The sequence below is a fragment of the Homo sapiens genome, chromosome 15 (assembly GCF_000001405.40).
Source record: "Homo sapiens chromosome 15, GRCh38.p14 Primary Assembly".
In the NCBI taxonomy this organism is placed as follows: Eukaryota; Metazoa; Chordata; class Mammalia; order Primates; family Hominidae; genus Homo; species Homo sapiens.
The window spans coordinates 75,101,755-75,120,040 of record NC_000015.10 but is presented as its reverse complement, the minus strand read 5'-3'; the positions used below and the strand labels follow the sequence as shown (position 1 = coordinate 75,120,040).

The window sequence follows — 18,286 nt, the reverse complement described above, 5'->3', positions numbered from 1 at the left end:
AAGTCTCACTCTGTCGCCAGGCTGGAGTGCAGTGGCGCAATCTCGGCTCACTGAAACCTCCCTCTCCCAGGTTCAAGTGATTCTCCTGCCTCAGCTTCCCGAGTAGCTGGGACTACAGGCATGTGCCACCATGCCCAGCTAATTTTTGTATTTTTAGTAGAGACGGGGTTTCACCATGTTGGCCAGAATGGTCTCAATCTCTTGACCTTGTGATCCGCCTGTCTCAGCTTTCCTAAGTGCTGGGATTACATGTGTGAGCCACCGCCCCCAGCCCAAAAGTCGTTTTTCTTTTTTTAATGATCAACAAAATTGACAAGCTTTAATAGAGACCAAGAAAAAAAGAGAGAATACACAAATTGCCAAAATCAGCAATAAAAAAGGGGACTTCACAATAGACTATTTACCAAAAAACTACTGCTAACTTAATACTTAATGGTGCAGACTGAATGTTTTTCTCCTAAGATAAGGAAAAAGGCAAGGACATTCTCTCTCCCCACTCTTACTCAACATTACCCTGGAATTTCAAGCCGGTGAAATCAGGGAAGGAAAAGAAAACAAAGGCATGTAGGTAGGAAAATAATGAGTAAAAATGTCTTTAGTTGCAGAAGACATGTATGTAGATAATTCTTTGGAGGGTATTTTATTTTTCTAGTGATGGGGGGTCTCACTCTGTCGCCAGGCTGGAGTGCAGTGGCGCAGTCTCGGCTCACTGAAACCTCCCTCTCCCAGGTTCAAGTGATTCTCCTGCCTCAGCCTCCCGAGTAGCTGGGATGGACTATAGACATGTGCCATCATGCCCAGCTAATTTTTGTATTTTTAGTAGAGACGGGGTTTCACCATGTTGGCCAGAATGGTCTCAATCTCTTGACCTTGTGATCCGCCTGTCTCAGCTTTCCTAAGTGCTGGGATTACATGTGTGAGCCACCGCCCCCAGCCCAAAAGTCGTTTTTCTTTTTTTAATGATCAACAAAATTGACAAGCTTTAATAGAGACCAAGAAAAAAAGAGAGAATACACAAATTGCCAAAATCAGCAATAAAAAAGGGGACTTCACAATAGACTATTTACCAAAAAACTACTGCTAACTTAATACTTAATGGTGCAGACTGAATGTTTTTCTCCTAAGATAAGGAAAAAGGCAAGGACATTCTCTCTCCCCACTCTTACTCAACATTACCCTGGAATTTCAAGCTGGTGAAATCAGGGAAGGAAAAGAAAACAAAGGCATGTAGGTAGGAAAATAATAAGTAAAAATGTCTTTAATTGCAGAAGACATGTATGTAGATAATTCTTTGGAGGGTATTTTATTTTTCTAATGATGGGGGGGGTCTCACTATGTTGCCCAGGCTGGTCTTGAACTCCTGAGCTCAAGTGATCCTCCCACCTCAGCCTCCCAAAATGCTGGGATTACAGGTGTGAGCCACCACACCTGGCCCTGTGGAATGCACTTTAAGTACTAATAGAACTAATAAGCAAATGTAGCAGGGTCACAGTATGCAAGATCAATATATATGATCAAAAAACTTCTCACAAAGAAAAAGTAGGGATGATTTCACTAGTGAATTTTAAAACAGTTGAAGGATGAACTCCAATTCTCCATAAAGTCTTCCAAAAATCAGAAGAGGAAAGAATACTTCCTAACCTATTCTATGAGGCCAGTTATTATTCTGATACCAAAACCAGAGAGACATCACAACAAAAACAGAAACAAAAATTCTACAGACCAATATCCCTTGTCAATATAGATATAGAAATCTTTAATAAAATACTATCTAACTGAATCCAGCAACATGTAAGATTGACCAAGTGGGATTTTTCCCAAGAATGCAAGGTTGGCTGGACTTACGAAAATGAATCAATCCAATGCACCATATTAGTAGAATAAGGAAGAAAACCACAAGATCATCTCAATGATGCAGAAAAAGAATTTGACAAAATCCAACACTCTTTTATGATAAAGACACTCAGCAAACTAGGAATAGAAGGGAACTTCCTCAACCTGTTAAGGTTCACCTATGAAAAACCCAACACCAACTTCATACTTAATGGTGAAAAACTGAAACCTCCCCCTAAGATCAGGAGCCAGAGAAGGATGTCCACTCTCACAACTTCTACTCAACATTGTCCTGGAGATCCAACCAGGGCAGTTAGCCAGGGCAATTAAAATTTAATTTCAAATACCACTGAAATTGGGATGGAGGAAGTAAAGCCATCTCTATTTGCGGAGCATATGATCTTGAATAGAGAAAATCCTAAGGAATCCACTAAAAACAACTACTAGAACTAATGAATTCAATCAGTTTGAGGAGTATAATATCAATATATAAAAGTCAACCATATTTCTTTATGCTAGCAATGAATAATATAAAAATGAAATTAAGAAAGCAATTCTATACAATAGCATCAAAAAGAATAAAATACTTACTGTTGGGAGAAAAGCTGAGTGTTGGGAGAGAAGCTGAGCAGGGCTTGGTACATGTCGGCGGTCCAGGGTCTAAAACCCCTCGTGGCCTTTGGAATGTGCCTAGATTTGCTGGCTCCTTGCTTCTAGCACTCCCATTATCTCAAGTAGCCATATGTTTCAAAGAAAATGCTAAACCATCACAGCTGTAGCTCATTCGCTTGATACACTGCTTCCTTACAATCCTCAACACCTGTTTCTTTGTTTGATCACCAATAAATAGCCTGGGCTCCCAGAGCTCAGGGCCTTCCCAGCCTCCCTATAGTTGGGCCCCTGGTCCGACTTTCTCTCTTGTCTTTTCTCATGGGTTTGATTCCGCGGGACTTCATATCCCCCACGGCCTGGTGTTGGGTCTGATCACCCCAACAACTTAGGAATAAAATTATTTGGCTGTTTATTGTGTTGTATTCTTTGAGAGTCTTTGGCCATAATTAGTCAAAAATCTATTAAAAATGAGGTACCTGCGGAGAAATGAAAGTAGAAAGAGAAAAGGTTCGGATGCAACTAAAGCTCTTAAAAGGCCCCCACATTGAAGGTTCCCAGCATCTCAAAAGAGTTTTAGGACTCAAGGATAAAGCAAATCATGAAATAGCACACCTAATAAATAACACAGAGGCTAATAATAAAATTCTTTCTTTAAAAAAAAAAAATCATTTTGGAGGCCCGACATGGCGGCTCACACCTGTAATCCCAGCACTTTGGGAGGCTGAGGGGGGTGGATCAGTTGAGGCCAGGAGTTAAGAGACCAGCCCTAGCCAACATGGTAAAATCCTGTCTCTACTAAAAATACAAAAATTAGCCGGGTGTGGTGGCGGGCACCTGTAATCCCAGCTACTTGGGAGGCTGAGGCAAGAGAATTGCTTGAACCCGGGAGGCGGAGGTTGCAGTGAGCTGAGTTAGGCCATGGCACTCCAGCCTAAGCGACAGAGCAAGATTGTCTCAAAAAAAACATCATTTTGGAGAAAGAAAATTGGGATAAAGTCATGAAGTTTAACAATCCAGGACGCCAAGCTCCTGAGGACTAGAAGTTTCACAGCTAAGAGGGATGTCCCCTCAGTGTGTCTTACCAGTGAGAGGTGACAGCGTGCTGGCAGTCCTCACAGCCCTGGCTCGCTCTCCGCGCCTCCTCTGCCTGGGCTCCCACTATGGCGGCACTTGAGGAGCCCTTCAGCCCGCCGCTGCACTGTAGGAGCCCCTTTCTGGGCTGGCCAAGCCCGGAGCCGGCTCCCTCAGCTTGCCGGGAGGTGTGGAGGGAGAGGCGCGGCGGGAACCCGGGCTGCGCGCGGTGCTTGCGGGCCAGCGCGAGTTCCGGGTGGGCGTGGGCTCAGCGGACCTCGGAGCGGCCGGCCGGCCCCACCGCCCCGGGCAGTGAGGGGCTTAGCACCTGGGCCAGCAGCTTCTGTGCTCAATTTCTCGCCGGGCCTTAGCTGCCTTCCCACGGGGCAGGGCTCGGGACCTGCAGCCCGCCATGCCTGAGCCTCCACCCCACTCCGTGGGCTCCTGTGCTGCCGGAGCCTCCCCCAGGAGCGCCACCCCTTGCTCCAAGGCGCCCAGTCCCATGGACCACCCAAGAGCTGAGGAGTGCGGGCACACGGCGCGGGACTGGCAGGCAGCTCCACCTGCAGCCCCGGTGCAGGATCCACTGGGTGAACCCAGCTGGGCTCCTGAGATTGGTGGGGACTTGGAGAACCTTTATGTCTAGCTAAGGGATTGTAAATACACCAATTGGCACTCTGTATCTAGCTCAAGGTTTGTAAACATACCAATCAGCACGCTGTGTCTCGCTCAGGGTTTGTGAATGCACCAGTGGACACTCTGTATCTGGCTACTCTGGTAGATACAGAGTGGACTTGGAGAACCTTTGTGGCCACACTCTGTATCTAGCTAATCTGGTGGGGACGTGGAGAACCTTTGTGTCTAGCTCAGGGATTGTAAACGCACCAATCAGCGCCCTGTCAAAACAGACCACTGGACTCTACCACTCAGCAGGATGTGGGTGGGGCCAGATAAGAGAATAAAAGCAGGCTGCCCGAGCTGGCAGTGGCAACCCGGGTCCCCTTCCACACTGTGGAAGCTTTGTTCTTTCGCTCTTTGCAACAAATCTTGCTGCTGCTCACTCTTTGGGTCCACCTTGCTTTTATGAGCTGTAACACTCACAGCAAAGGTCTGCAGCTTCACTCCTGAAGCCAACGAGACCACGAACCCACCGGGAGGAACGAACAACTCCAGACGCACCGCCTTAAGAGCTGTAACACTCACGGCAAAGGTCCGCAGCTTCACTCCTGAGCCAGTGAGACCAGGAACCCACCAGAAGGAAGAAACTCCAAACACATCCGAACATCAGAAGGAACAAACTCCGGACACACCGCCTTTAAGAACTGTAACACTCACCGCAAGGGTCCGTGGCTTCATTCTTGAAGTCAGTGAGACCAAGAACCCACCAATTCCGGACACACCAGTATGAATAAAAAGCATCCACCCTGTCACCAGCAAGTCCTCTACTCAGAAAGTACTGACCCAAGTCTGGGAGAGCAGCCAATTCAAATGTGCAGGGCTGGAGCTTGTGAACACAGCCACTGTTTTCCATTGCACATCTTCATCTCAGTAGTAACATGGCCACTCCTGGGGAACTTGTGGCAGGGATCCCAAGGTGAAGCAGCACAGATGTCTACAAACTGTGTAGTGACAGTGGCTCAGAGCCTCCAGACTCCTACCTCTGCATGGTGGCCTCCTGCCTTCAACAACTCACTGGGCCTCATGAAGATGCCTTCCATGGCTTTCCAGTCGTTGCTCGGCTTGGCTAGGCCAGACCATGCGTCTCTTTTTGCCCACTGATGGGTCCACCATATCGTTCTCCTGTGACAGACAGCGGTTCCTCAATGGAAGAATGTTTGAACCACCCCTCACCATCTCTCACCCAGTAGGGCCCGTTACAGAGTATGGTCCAGTCATCCAGGTGACTACCTTCACCTTCCTCACCAAAAGCACCCACTTCCTGGTTTTCAGAAAGTTGTGGAGGTTTCAGCCAGTGTTGACATGTGTCAGCCGGATGGGCTGGCAGCACTTGATGGGGGTTCCCCTCTCACCAGCTGTGGTGATCTTACCCATATTCTCCAGTAACTGTTGCTGTCATCCATGGAGGTTACACTTGTCACTGACTGCTGCCCAGTACCTGACCCATAGAGCACATCGTGTGACTGCAGATGGACACTGTAGTGCATTTCGAGCAGCTTCACCATAGAGCCGCGAGTAACAGCCAGATTGGACGCTCCCACGGTGTTCCACAAACCCCCAGACAGCAGTAGCGGAACCACAGCCATCCTAGCTGGATTCGGAGCCCCAGATCTTCCAGAAATAAATTTTTTTTAAAGAAAGGCAAAACATATACTCTGAAAACTGAAACATTTGTTTAAAGAACTTAAAGATTGGCTGGGCCCCGTGGCTCATGCCTGTTATCCCAGCATTTGGGGAGGCGAAGGTGGGAGGATTGTTGAGCCCAGGAGTTCAAGAACAGCCTGGGCAACATGGTGAGGCCCAGCTCTACAAAAAACTAAAAAAATTAGACAAGGGTGGTGGCATACACCTGTAGTCCCACCTACTCGGGAGGCTGAAGTGGGAGGATTGCTTGATCCTGGGAAGTCAAGGCTGCAGTGGGCTGTGATTGTGCCACTGCAGTCCAGCCTGGGCGACAGAGTGAGACCCTGTCTCAAAAAAAAAAAAAAAAATGGGTAGCATAGTGGCTCATACCTGTAATCCCAGCTACTCGAGAGGCTGAGGCAGGAGAATTGCTTGAACCCGGGAGGTGGAGGTTGCAGTGAGCCGAGATCACACCACTGCACTCCAGCCTGGGTGACAGAGCAAGACTCCATCTCAGGGGAAGAATATTACAAAAATTATCTGGGTGTGGTGGTGCTAGTCCCAGCTCCCTGGGAGGCTGAGGCACAAAAGTCCCTTGAACCTGGGAGGTGGAGGTAAGCCGAGATCGTGCCACTGCACTCCAGCCTGGGCAAGAGAGCAAGACTCTTATCTCAAAAAAAAAAAAAAAAAGGAAAAAAGAGAGAGAGAGAGAATCTGAGCCAGATCAGTATTAGACCTCTCAACAGCAATATTAGAAACTAGAAGTTTATGAAACAATGCCTTAAAGTTGCTGAGGGAAAATCATTATATACCCAGCCAAAGTATCAACCCAGTGTGAGGGTAGAAAATAAGACATTTTCAGACAAAAAAAAAAATTGTCTTCCGTGAAAACTTCCTCAGGAAGGAACTGGAGGATGTGCTCCACCCTAAAAGGGCATAAACCAAGAAAGAAGAAATGGAACCCAGAAAAATCAGAGATCCATAGAGGAAAGAGAAGAAATGACGTTGCAGAATGTTGGCAAAGGGAAGCCTCTGGATGACGACTGTGCTGCTGATCTGGAAAGCTTCTGGCTCAGATGGAGGCAGGAGAACTGAGGGCTCCAGAAAGGGTGTCTCAAGGGAAAAAAAAATTAAGGAACTGGAACTGATAGTGAAAATCAGTATTGAGAATTATCTTACTGGGCTTTTGCAGAAGATCTAATCATGGGTCAAAGAAAATAAGCAAGTGAAAAAAATGAGACAATGATTAACTCTGTGGGGGAAAGGAGATTGAAAAAGATAGTATATTAGTTGTTTCAGCCATAAACACTTTTTAGTGATTGTGAATGTAACCAAGAGTTGTGGTGGTATGATATTGAAAGGAGAGGAGAAAGAGTGTAAGTGAACCTCCTCTGTCACAATAGGGAGCCCTAGAGACAGCATCTAAATTGGACCTCTTGGGAGATAACCAGAATTGAAATCAATGCTTTATTTAGGGAGTAAAAACCAGAAGAAACAACTGAATAAGTTGAAATGGCTGCTTTTGGCGAGCAGGCTGACGTGGGGTAAAGAGCGTGTTATTTTTGTTGTAATCCTTTAGCATTCTCTGACTGTAAATACTCTGTACACATTATTTTGGGGAATAAAAACTGACCAGAAGAACTGTGAGGAGAAGCCATGACAACAGTAAGGCTGTTTCCTTTTGAGATTTTCCTGTCTGAAGCAATTCTCCTTTGGAAATTGAGCAAACAACCCCTCCCCATTTTTTCTGCTGTCTCATGAAGTGCATTCTCACTCCTGTGAATAATCTTGGGAGGCAGGTATTGATAAGGGTTCTTGGTGCTTTGTGAAATAGTAACTTGCATGTTGGTGACTCAGAGCAAGACTCTATCTCAAAGGCAGAACAGAAGTCAAAATTCCCACTTTTAAAAATTTTATTATTATTATTTTTCAGAGACAAGGTCGCACTCTGTCACCCAGGATGGAGCCCAGTAGCCCAATTGTAGCTCATTGCAACCTTGAATTACTGGGCGCAAGCGATCCTCTTGCTTCAGCCGCCCAAGTAGCTGGGACTACAGGCGGGCCCCACCATGCCCAGCTACCTTTTAAATTTTTTATAGAGACAGGGTCTTACTGTGTTGCCCAGGCTGGTCTCAAATCTCCTAGGCTCAATCTGTCCTCCCGCCTTGGCCTCCCAAAGTGCTGGATTAACGTTGTAAGCCACTGCACCTAACTAATATTCCCCCCCTTTTTTTTTTTTTGAGACGGAGTCTTGATCTGTTGCCAGGCTGGAGTGCAGTGGCGTGATCTTGGCTCACTGCAACCTCTGCTTCCCGGGTTCAAGTGATTCTCCTGCCTCAGCCTCCCAAGTAGCTGGGACTACAGGTGCTTGCCACCACGCCTAGCTCATTTTTTGTCTTTTTTGAGACAGTCTCACTCTGTTGCCCAGGTTGGAGTACAGTGGTGCAGTCTTGGCTCACTGCAAGCTCTGCCTCCTGGGTTCACACCATTCTCCTGTCTCAGCCTCCCCAGCAGCTGGGACTACAGGCGCCCACCACCATGCCAGGCTAATTTTTTGTATTTTTAATAGAGATGGGGTTTCACCGTGTTAACCAGGATGGTCTTGATCTCCTGACCTCGTGATCCTCCCACCTCGGCCTCCCGAAGTGCTGGGATTACAGGCGTGAGCCACCTCGCCTGGGCTTTAATTTTTATATTTTTAGTAGAGACGGGGTTTCACCATGTTGGCCAGGATGGTCTCAATCTCTTGACTTCGTGATCTGCCTGCCTCGGCCTCCCAAAGTGCTGGGATTACAGGTGTGAGTCACTGTGCCCGGCCTAATATTCCCATTTTACGCACAAGACAACATAGACCTCAAAAAGGGAAGTAACTCTCCAAAATCACACAGCCAGTGAGTGGCAGAGCTGGAGTCCTGACTCTCTTTTCTGTTTTCACACAGCTGGCCTCAGGCCCAGGGACCTCTTGGCCTTCATGCTTCCACTTCTCCCCTCTCTCCCAGCTGACCCCACCTTGCCTTCAGACACTTTCCACAATGTCCCTGGCTCTGAGCCCCACCCGGAGGGGATCCTTAATGTGAGCTATAGGCTTGAGCCCATGATCTCGTCACAGACTGAGCTCTCATCCTGATCACTCACTAAGCCCTGATCCTACCACAGAATGAGTCTTGGTCCTGGTCCTAGATAAAGCACTGAACCTGGTCATAGACTGAGCCCTGATGCTGGTCACAGACTGAGCCCCAGCCCCTTGCCACCAGTTCCATTAATAATGTATACAATTAAACACAAGTCGGGCCTGGCACAGAAGTCATGGATGGCTGGGTACCATCCCTCTCCAGTGTTGCAGAAATCCTGTCTCAGGGACAGAGCTTGTGAGGCTATGGCCTGGCTAGATGCTCTGGCATCGTTTCCCTCCATCCTCCACCAGAATTTATGCCACAGCTTGTGCCCATTCATTTCTGTCCCCTCCCGCTGCCCTCCCTGTGTGGGTGGGGGTTTGGGCAGCCCATGGTAATAAGCATGGAGCAGGGGTTGTCTGTGATGTCATTCTTGCTCAGAACGAAGCATTCCAGCATGGACAGCACTTGTCCTGGCTCCCCTGCTATATAGAACTCACTGTTCCCCACCCTAGACCCTTACCCTCACCCCTTGCCAGGCCAGCATTCTGCAATATGATTTCCAGGAGCTTCCAGAATGCTGGCTTGTTACAGCTGCTGCCCTGCTCTTAGTGACCAGCATCTCCTTCGAGCAGTCCTCTGTGTCAGGTGGGAAGCCGGGCCGACTTCTGACCACCCTCAGCTCTTGTCAGCCCAGGGGAGGTGGAAGGTCAAGGGAGGGGCAGGGAAGGTGATGGAGCTGGGCAACTTGGAGGAGAGAAGGCAAGGAGGCAGAACGGGACAGGCGTCAGTGTATCACTGAGTCATAAAATGTCAGGGCAGGTGGGAAGTGGAAGGACTGGCTCTCCTCTGCTCTCCCTTGCTAAACAGATGGAGAACTGAGGCCCAAGATCCTACAGTGACTTAGGAGAAAAATGGGGCCTCACATGTGGATTACTGGTACCAAAGAACAGCAGATCCCATAGCTCCAGAGGCCAGAGGAGGACCTTAAGGGAAGGAAGACCTTCCTAATTATCTAAGTTGCCCAGCCCAGGGACCTCTGGTTGGAGGGGCACGGGGCTGTGAGTTCCCCATCGCCATGGGACTGTAGCCAGCACAGTCACAGTATGGCGGTGCAGCCCAACCCTGCCGGGGGTGGAGATTGGTTGCTTTCTTGGCCACGTTTCCTTTTGTGGGTTTGGAACCCAGATGTGCTCCCTGCACGGGATCTTGGGGTCCCAGAAGGGCCTGTTCTCCCTTCTCCCCCTACTAGATCCAGCACAGTTCCTCTGGGCAGCTCTGCTGCTGCTGCTGGCTGGCCACAAGGCACTCAGGATGTAGGAGGCATCTAGACCCACAGTCAGAGTATGTATTTGGGAAGGGAAATTGGGAGACGGTCCAGCCGAGCGGGGGCTGCTTATTGGAGCAGACTGGGTCTGAGAAAATCATGGTAGACAGGTGGGGACCTCGCCCTTCTCCAAGCCAAGGGGGTGGGCTGTGGTTTTCAGGCGCTTGGGCCCCTGCCTTGCTGCCACGCCCCAATCCTGAACTCTGCGGCCCACACCCCCCACAAAACCAAAGCCAGCTTTCTGGGCCCCGGTGGCTGTGTCTCCCTGGGCCTATTCTCTCCCCACCCGGGTGGTTTACATGCCTCTGTGCCATGAGGCTGGCCACTCTTTGAAAGCCGAGGGTTGCAGGGTGGGTTCCTCAGGAAGTGGATTTGGGCTCGGAGTTACTGTGAGGGATGTCTGTTAGGGAGAGCTCTTGCAGACAGCACCTGGAGAAGGGAAGGCAAAGAGGCCAAACTGGGCAGAGGGAGAAGAAGTCCAGCTGCAAGACAGGCCCAACCCTGGCCTCAGCTGCCTCACTGGGAGCTCCGAATGACCTGTCACCGCCCCACACAGGGCTTAAATAGCCGGGCCTGAATTAGTACCCAGCTGGATTAGTCCTTGGATATGAGGCTGCCCAGAGAAAGGCATGGGAGGCCGAGGCAGAGGAGGCAAATCTCTGCAGCTGGGGGCAATCCCTGGAGAGCTGAGCACTCACGACCCTCCCGCCGCCAGGGCCAGTCCTTCCTGAGGTACATCTGGACATCGTGTCTCTGGGTCTACTGTCCTGGGTTTTAGTGGGCTTTTGAGAGACGCTTGTAGAATAAATGAATGCATAAATGAAATAAGCCCCTCACACATGTTGGCCTCACTCTCCTCATCAATTGAATAGGGATAATACTTTCCACACTCATGCTGTGAGGGCTAAGCTCGTTGTAAACACCAAGTGCCATGGGCCTATGAGGCCTCCCCATCTCTCCTTCAGCTGAGGCCCCGAGGTTGGGGCTAGGACACGGAGGGGTGGGGTGGGCTTGGCAGTTCGTGGTTGCTGCTTCAGGGGAAACCACAGCTGCCTCTTGCTGGGGCAGTCAGTGAGGCCCAGGGGAGGGGAAGATCACATGCAAGGCGGGCTGTGGGCACTGAGTCACCACCCAGAGGGAAACCACGGCCTCAAGAACCCAACGCCAAAGGACAGGTGGCAGGTGAGGTGGGCGAAGAGCTAGCAGTCAGGAGCAGGTATCCAGACAGCCTCTTCACCTCAAGGTCCAGCCCTGTCCCATCCTGCGGGGCAGCATCTACTGTATGCTACAGGAGGGGCTGGCTCAGTCACAGATCTCTGAGCAACAGGACAGAGCAAGAGCTGAGTGACCCTGGGCAAAGAGCCATCCCTCTCTAGTTCTCCCCTACCCCTGGGAAAATAGGGACAATTCTTGGGTTTGAGAAAATTCATGCATGATGTCATCATCTGAAGATTTTGCTCATACGATGCTTTTACCTCATCATTACAGTCTAGAGTGCTGCTGTTTGTCGCGTTGCATTCATCTACTGATTGCTCTAATAGCTGTGAAATGTCTTCCTCTGTCAGTTTCCTTCTCTTTCCTCTTTGTAGGAAAATGAACAATTCTGAATTCTTAACTGTGTGCAATGAAAGCTAAAAAAAAATACAAAGATGATATCTCTGGACTTTTTACACTTTCTTGAAAGACGGTCCTAATGCTTTGGACAAGGCAATAAGAAAACTGAAAATTGGTGAAATAGCAATGACTCATGTCACTATTGAGTCATTCAGGCAATTCCATCATTCTTCTGTTTTCTTACTATTTTAGTCTTTTTTTCAAAGCATGGGTTGGGAATAATTGATGAGTAATGATGAAATAGTTCCTGAGGGAATACAATAGCAAAATGTTTTATGATATAGGAAAAATAAGATCATGAAGATCTCATAATATATTTTAGATTTACAAATGATCCAGTAGATCCATATGATAATTACAAGATAAAATAAGCTTCTTCTTTTTTTTTTTTTTTTTTTTTTTGAGGCAGGGTCTCCTCTGTCATCCAGGCTGGAGTGCAGCGGCTCACTGCAACTTCTGCATCCTGGGCTTAGTAATCCTCCCACCTCAGCCTCCCAAGTAGCTGGGAGTACAGGGGTGTGCCACTGAGCCCAAATAATTTTTGTATTTTTTCATAGAGGCAGGGTTTCACCCTGTTGCCCAGGCTGGTCTCGAACTCCTGAGTTTAAGCAATCTGCCCTCCTTGGCCTCTGGAAATGCAGAAATTACAGGCATGAGCCACTACACCCAGCCCTTCATTCTTTTTTATTAAAAAAAAAAAAAAGAAAGTGGACAGGTGCAGTCGCTCACGCCTGTAATCCCAGCACTTTGAGAGGCCAAGGCAGGAGGATTACCTGAGGTCAGGAGTTTGAGACCAGTCTGCCAACATGGTGAAACACTGTCTCTACTAACAACAACAAAAAAAAAATTAGCTGGGCATGGTGTCAGGCACCTGTAATCCCAGTTACTTGGGAGGCTGAGATAGAAGCATCACTTGAATCCGGGAGGTGAAGGTTGCAGTGAGCTGAGATTGTGCCATTGCACTCCAGCCTGGGCAACAAGAGCGAAACCCCATCTCAAAAAAATAAATGAATAAATAAATAAATAAAAGTTCTCTTTGGTTTTGGGAGACCTCCGTGAAAAAATAAAAGTAATAAAATAATCCTCATAAATCGTTTGAACTGCTCAAAAAAGAAACTTCAACCAGGCATGATGGCTCATGCCTGTAATCCCAGCACTTTGGGAGGTCGAGGGAGGCAGATCACTGAGCTCAAGAGTTCAAGACCAGCCTGAGCAACATGGCAAAACCCCCTCTCTACTAAAAATAAGAATACCAAAAAATACAAAAATTAGCCAGGCGTTGTGGCACGCACCTGTTGTCCCAGCTACTCGGGAGGCTGAGGCAGGAGGATGGCTTGAACCTGTGAGGCAGAGGTTGCAGTGAGCTGAGATTGTGCCACTGCACTCTAGCCTGGGAGACAGAGTGAGACCCTGTCAAAAAAAAGAAAGAAAGAAAGAAAGAAAGAACGAAGGAAAGGAAAGAAGAAAGAAAGGTTGGTTAAAAATTAAAATTAAAATTGGGTCTAATGGAGTCTGAAGGTATATTGAGAGTTAAAATGAAATTCCCCGAGGAGGACTTAGCTGAAGGTCCACCTCTCCCTGTGCCCAAATAGGGAGGAAAAAGTAGAGACTGTGATATGAAATGAGACCCCACCAAATGACAAATTATAAGCAAAAAATGCAAATAAATGCAAGTGAAGACGATATTGAGGACCCTGGTACTCCTGGTAAACATGGAATATGGGCTCCTTTGGGTGATTGGTATTCTAAGACAGCTGCCCCATCCTCCTTCCGGGGTCTCCCCTACAGCCCCTGTGGCTGGGAGACCCACGCCTGAAGGCTGTTCTTGCTTCCTTACTCCCTTCCCCAGCACTGACAGAATTCTCCTATTGCCCACTGGTGCCCCGAAGCTTGGCACACCAGCCATTCTGCTCTTGCTGCTGCAGGCAAGGGGCCCTCTGGCCACCCACGAGCCCTCTGGCCACCCACGACGTCCCTGTGAATCATCCTAGAGCAAGGTCAGTGACAGGCCCGGCACTGCTGGGCACCGGGAGCCCCAAGGGCTGTTTCCCACATAGGTTTTTGTGTTTTGTTTTTTTTGAGACAGAGTCTCGCTCTGTTGCCCAGGCTGGAATGCTGTGGCGTAATCTCAGCTCACTGCAACCTCTGTCTCCCGGGTTCAAGCAATTCTCAAGCCTCAGCCTCCCGAGTAGCTGGGACCACACGTGTGCGCCATCATGCTTGGCTAATTTTTGTATTTTTAGTAGAGACGGGGTTTCACCATGTTGGCCAGGCTGGTCTCCAACTCCTGACCTCAAGTGATCCACCAGCCTCGGCCTCCCAAAGTATTGGGATTACAGGCATGAGCCACCATGCCCAGCCTCCCACATGGGTTTATCATCAATTTACAATAGCCTCACAAGTGTTGGGGAAAACTGAGGCTCAGAGAAGGACGGTGACTTGCCTGGGGTTCCCGAGCAAATCATTAACAGAGCAAGGTTCATAACCAGACCTTTTGCTACCTGTTCAGAGCCTTGTCTTCCATGTATAGGCCCAAGGAAGCTCATGCCTTCCAAGGGTGCAGGGGGCACAGGCTACTTGAGCTCATGGGCCGCCTTGGGGGCTTGAGTCCAGAAGGTTTTCTTTCATGAGAAGAGACTGGATTGTGCTTGTTCATGGGAGGTAGGAGAACCCATTTGTTAAGAGCTCAGGCTCATGAGTTTACAGTATGTGGGTATTTATCCTGGCTGTACAACTTATTCCTGTGTGGCCCTCAGAAGGGAACCTAACCTCTCTGTGCCTTGGTTTCTTTACCTGTTGGGGTGGTGGGAGGTTGAGTCCTTTTGGTTGCCAGATCAGCAGGTCCCTTGGATTCCCTTGAGTCTGGGGGATTATTATCAGTAAGGGAGACAGGCCCTCACAGGACTCCAAGAGTAGGACCTGGACCTTGTCCAGGCATGGACCCTGGGGCTGGAGAGTGGTACTGCGTGTGGGCACTAGGGATTCAAGACAACAGGGTGTGGTGAGTGGTCCTATGGCACTTCCTGAGCTCTCTCAGCATCCGCTCCCTTCCCTCACAAACACCCCACAACCACCCTGCATTTGTTCAGCTTTTTCTTGTCCTCCCAGCTTCCGCAAACTCATTTTTTCCATTTCCTCATCTCTCAGCTTCCTGGGCATGACCTCAGAGTCCAGACAGCTTTGTGGCTGCTCTGAAACACACCCTTTCAACTTAGCCTCAACCACTCAAACCCCTGAGGGAGAAACCTGATTCCAGCCAAGGCAGACTCATTGATCTCAGATTTACCCTACCATGGTAAACAACCATAAATACTGGGCAAAATAGAATATCCAACAACAGTTTGTAGGCACTGGACAGCAGCCAATGCAGGGTTATGGTCGTTGGAGAAGGAATGCACATGAGGTGAGCCTCACTTTTTTTTTTTTTGAGACAGGGTCTCACTCTGTCCCCCAGGCTGGAGTGCAGTAGCATGATCTTGGCTCACTGCAACCTCTGCCTCCTGGATATAAGTGATTCTCCTGACTCAGCCTCCCAAGTAGCTGGGACTACAGGCGTGTGCCACCACGCCCAGCTAATTTTTGTATTTTTAGTAGAGATGGGGTTTTGCCATGTTGGCCAGGCTGGTCTCAAACTCCTGACCTCAGGTGATCCACCTGCCTCGGCCTCCCAAAGTGCTGGGATTACAGGCATGAGCCACCTCGCCTGGACAAGCCTCACATTTAAATTGCTTTCTCCATGAAGCCATTTCCCAAACTCAGGTGCAAGGAAGTGGACCAAGCAGGAAGTCACAGTCTCAATGGGCCAAGAAAATAAGTATCTGGCCGGGTGTGGTGCTCATGCCTGTAATCCCAGCACTTTGGGAGGCCAAGGTGGGTGGAACACAAGGTCGGAGTTTGAGACCAGCCTGCCCAACATGGTGAAACCCCATCTCTACTAAAAATGCAAAAATTGGCCGGGCGATGTGGCTCACGCCTATAATCCCAGCACTTTGGGGGGCCGAGGCGGGCGGATCATGAGGTCAGGAGTTCGAGACCAGCCTGGCCAATATGGTGAAACCCCGTCTCTACTAAAAATACAAAAATTAGCTGGGCGTGGTGGCATGCACCTGTACTCCCAGCTACTTAGGAGGCTGAGGCAGAAGAATCGCTTGAACCCAGGAGGCGAGCTTGCAGTGAGCCAAGATCGTGCCACTGCACTCCAGCCTGGGCAACACAGTGAGACTCTGTCTCAAAAAAAAAAAAAAAAAAAAAAAAAGCAAAAATTAGCCAGGCGTGGTGGCGGGTGCCTGTAATCCCAGCTACTCAGGAGGCTGAGGCAGGAGAATCACTTGAAACCAGAAGGAGGAGGTTGCAGTGAGCTGAGATTGTGCCACTGCACTCCAGCCTGGGCGACACAGCGAGACTCCGTCAAAGAAAAGGAAAGGAAAAGAAAGGGAAGGGGAAGGGAAAAGGGAACACCCAGATATTTTTTGTATTTTTTGTAGAGATAGGGTTTTGCCATGTTGCCCAGGCTGGTCTCAAACTCCCGAGCTTAAGTGATCCACCTGCCTCAGCCTCCCAAAATGCTGAGATTACAGGCATGAGTCACTGCACCCAGCCAAAAAACTGACATTTTGGACTGCAAAATATATTTGAAATTAAGAACTCACTGGATAGGTTTAGCAAAAGACTATATACAGCAGAAGGCAAGACTCGTGAACTTAAAGACCAGTCAATAGAAATTATTCAAATTGAAGCACAAAGCAAAAAGAATAATAGAAGGAAAAACAGAACTGAGTATAAGAGATGCACGGGATGTGCTCAAAAGGTCTAACATACGTGTTTGGAATTCCTTAAGGAGAGAAGAGAGGGAATAGGAGAGAAGCAGTATTTGAAGAAATAATGGGCTGGGCATGGTAGCTCACGACTGTATTCCAAGCACTTTGGGAGGCTGAAGTGGGAGGATCACTTGAGCCCAGGAGTTCAAGACCAGCCTAGCCAACATGGCAAAACCCTGTCTCTACAAAAAATACAAAAATTAGCCAGGCATAGTGGTGTACAACTGTAGTTCCAGCTACTTTAGTGGGAGGATCAGGATCACATCAGCCAGGGAGGGTGAGGCTGCAGTGAGCCATGACTGCACCACTGCACTCCAGCAGCCTGGGCAACAGAATGAGACCTTGTCTCAAAAAAAAAAAAAAAAAGAAAGAAAGAAAAGAAAAGAAAAGACAAAGAAGGCTGGGCGTGGTGGTTCATCCCTGTAATTCCAACATTTTGGGAGGCCAAGGAGGGCGGATCACCTGAGGTCAGGAGTTCGAGACCACCCTGACCAAAATGGTGAAACTCTGTCTGTACTAAAAATACAAAAATTAGCCAGGCATGGTGGCTCGTGCCTGTAATCCCAGCTACTTGGGAGGCTGAGGCAGGAGAATCACTTGAACCCAGGAGGCAGAGGTTGCAGTGAGCCAAGATTGTGCCACTGCACTTCAGCCTGGGTGACAGAGTGAGACTCTGTCTCAACAAAAAAAAAAAAAAAAAAAAAGAAAAAGAAATAATGGCTGAGAATTCCACAAATATGATGAAAGGCATCAAGCCATAGATTCAAGAATATCAATGAGCTCCAAGCAGAGTAAGCATAAAGTAAACTACACTTAGCCTCATCACAGTTAAATTACTGAAAATCAAAGACAAAGTAGAAAGTCTTAAAAGAAACCACATTTTAAAAGAGAGAGAGAGACAGAGATACCAGCAATACAACTGATGGCAGACTATGGAAGCCAGACAATAATGAAATGACATCTTTAAAATGCTAAAAAGAGTTGGGGACAGTGGTTCACACCTGTGATCCCAACACTTTGGGAGGCCGAGGCAGGCAGATCACTTGAGGTTAGGAGTTCAAGACCAGCCTGGCCAACATGGCAAAACCCCATCTCTACTAAAACTACAAAAATTAGCTGGGCATACTGGTGCATGCCTGTAATCTCAGCTACTCAGGAGGCCGAGGCATAAGAATCGCTTGAATCCAGGAGGCGAGGCTGCAGTGAGCCGAGATTGTGCCACTGCACTCAAACCTGGGCAACAGAGCCAGACTCTCTTCCAAAAATAAAATAAAATAAAATGCTAAAAAAAAAACCTGCCAAGCTACAATTATATGCCCACTTCAAAAAATAAAGTAAAAGAAACATGTTGTCAGACAGACAAAAGCGGAAAGAATGTGCTTTGTTACTAGTGCACATCTGCACTATAAGAAATACTTGAGGAGGTTTGCACGGTGGCTCATGGGTCCTGTCTCAGCACTTTGGGAGGATTGTTTGACGCCAGAAATTCAAGACCATATGAGCAACATGGTAAGACCACATCTCTACAAAAAATAAAAAATTGGCCAGGAGTGGTGGTGCACACTTATAGTCCCAGCTACCCTGCAGTTCGAGGCTAC

At 48.3% G+C, this 18,286-nt stretch overlaps 1 long non-coding RNA gene and 1 pseudogene across 1 annotated transcript, besides 4 other annotated features; both read right to left on the bottom strand.

The window, feature by feature from the left end:
* LOC100128721 (stromal cell derived factor 2 pseudogene) lies at positions 4,917-5,809 on the bottom strand (annotated as a pseudogene).
* Positions 6,817-6,886: an enhancer, noted in NCBI's record as "active region_9834". NCBI's record gives its function as "activates an Ori minimal core promoter by ATAC-STARR-seq in GM12878 lymphoblastoid cells {active_cell/tissue: GM12878}" and the evidence as "EXISTENCE:reporter gene assay evidence [ECO:0000049][PMID:35858748]".
* Positions 6,907-6,956: an enhancer, noted in NCBI's record as "active region_9833". NCBI's record gives its function as "activates an Ori minimal core promoter by ATAC-STARR-seq in GM12878 lymphoblastoid cells {active_cell/tissue: GM12878}" and the evidence as "EXISTENCE:reporter gene assay evidence [ECO:0000049][PMID:35858748]".
* Positions 6,987-7,076: an enhancer, noted in NCBI's record as "active region_9832". NCBI's record gives its function as "activates an Ori minimal core promoter by ATAC-STARR-seq in GM12878 lymphoblastoid cells {active_cell/tissue: GM12878}" and the evidence as "EXISTENCE:reporter gene assay evidence [ECO:0000049][PMID:35858748]".
* Positions 7,713-13,193, bottom strand: LOC124903529 (uncharacterized). The gene is made up of 2 exons (XR_007064720.1): positions 13,164-13,193; positions 7,713-11,888 (listed from the first exon to the last, which is right to left on the bottom strand). It is a non-coding gene; the product is annotated as an uncharacterized LOC124903529 (long non-coding RNA).
* Positions 9,002-9,071: an enhancer, noted in NCBI's record as "active region_9831". NCBI's record gives its function as "activates an Ori minimal core promoter by ATAC-STARR-seq in GM12878 lymphoblastoid cells {active_cell/tissue: GM12878}" and the evidence as "EXISTENCE:reporter gene assay evidence [ECO:0000049][PMID:35858748]".
* Positions 13,194-18,286: the final 5,093 nt, after the last annotated feature.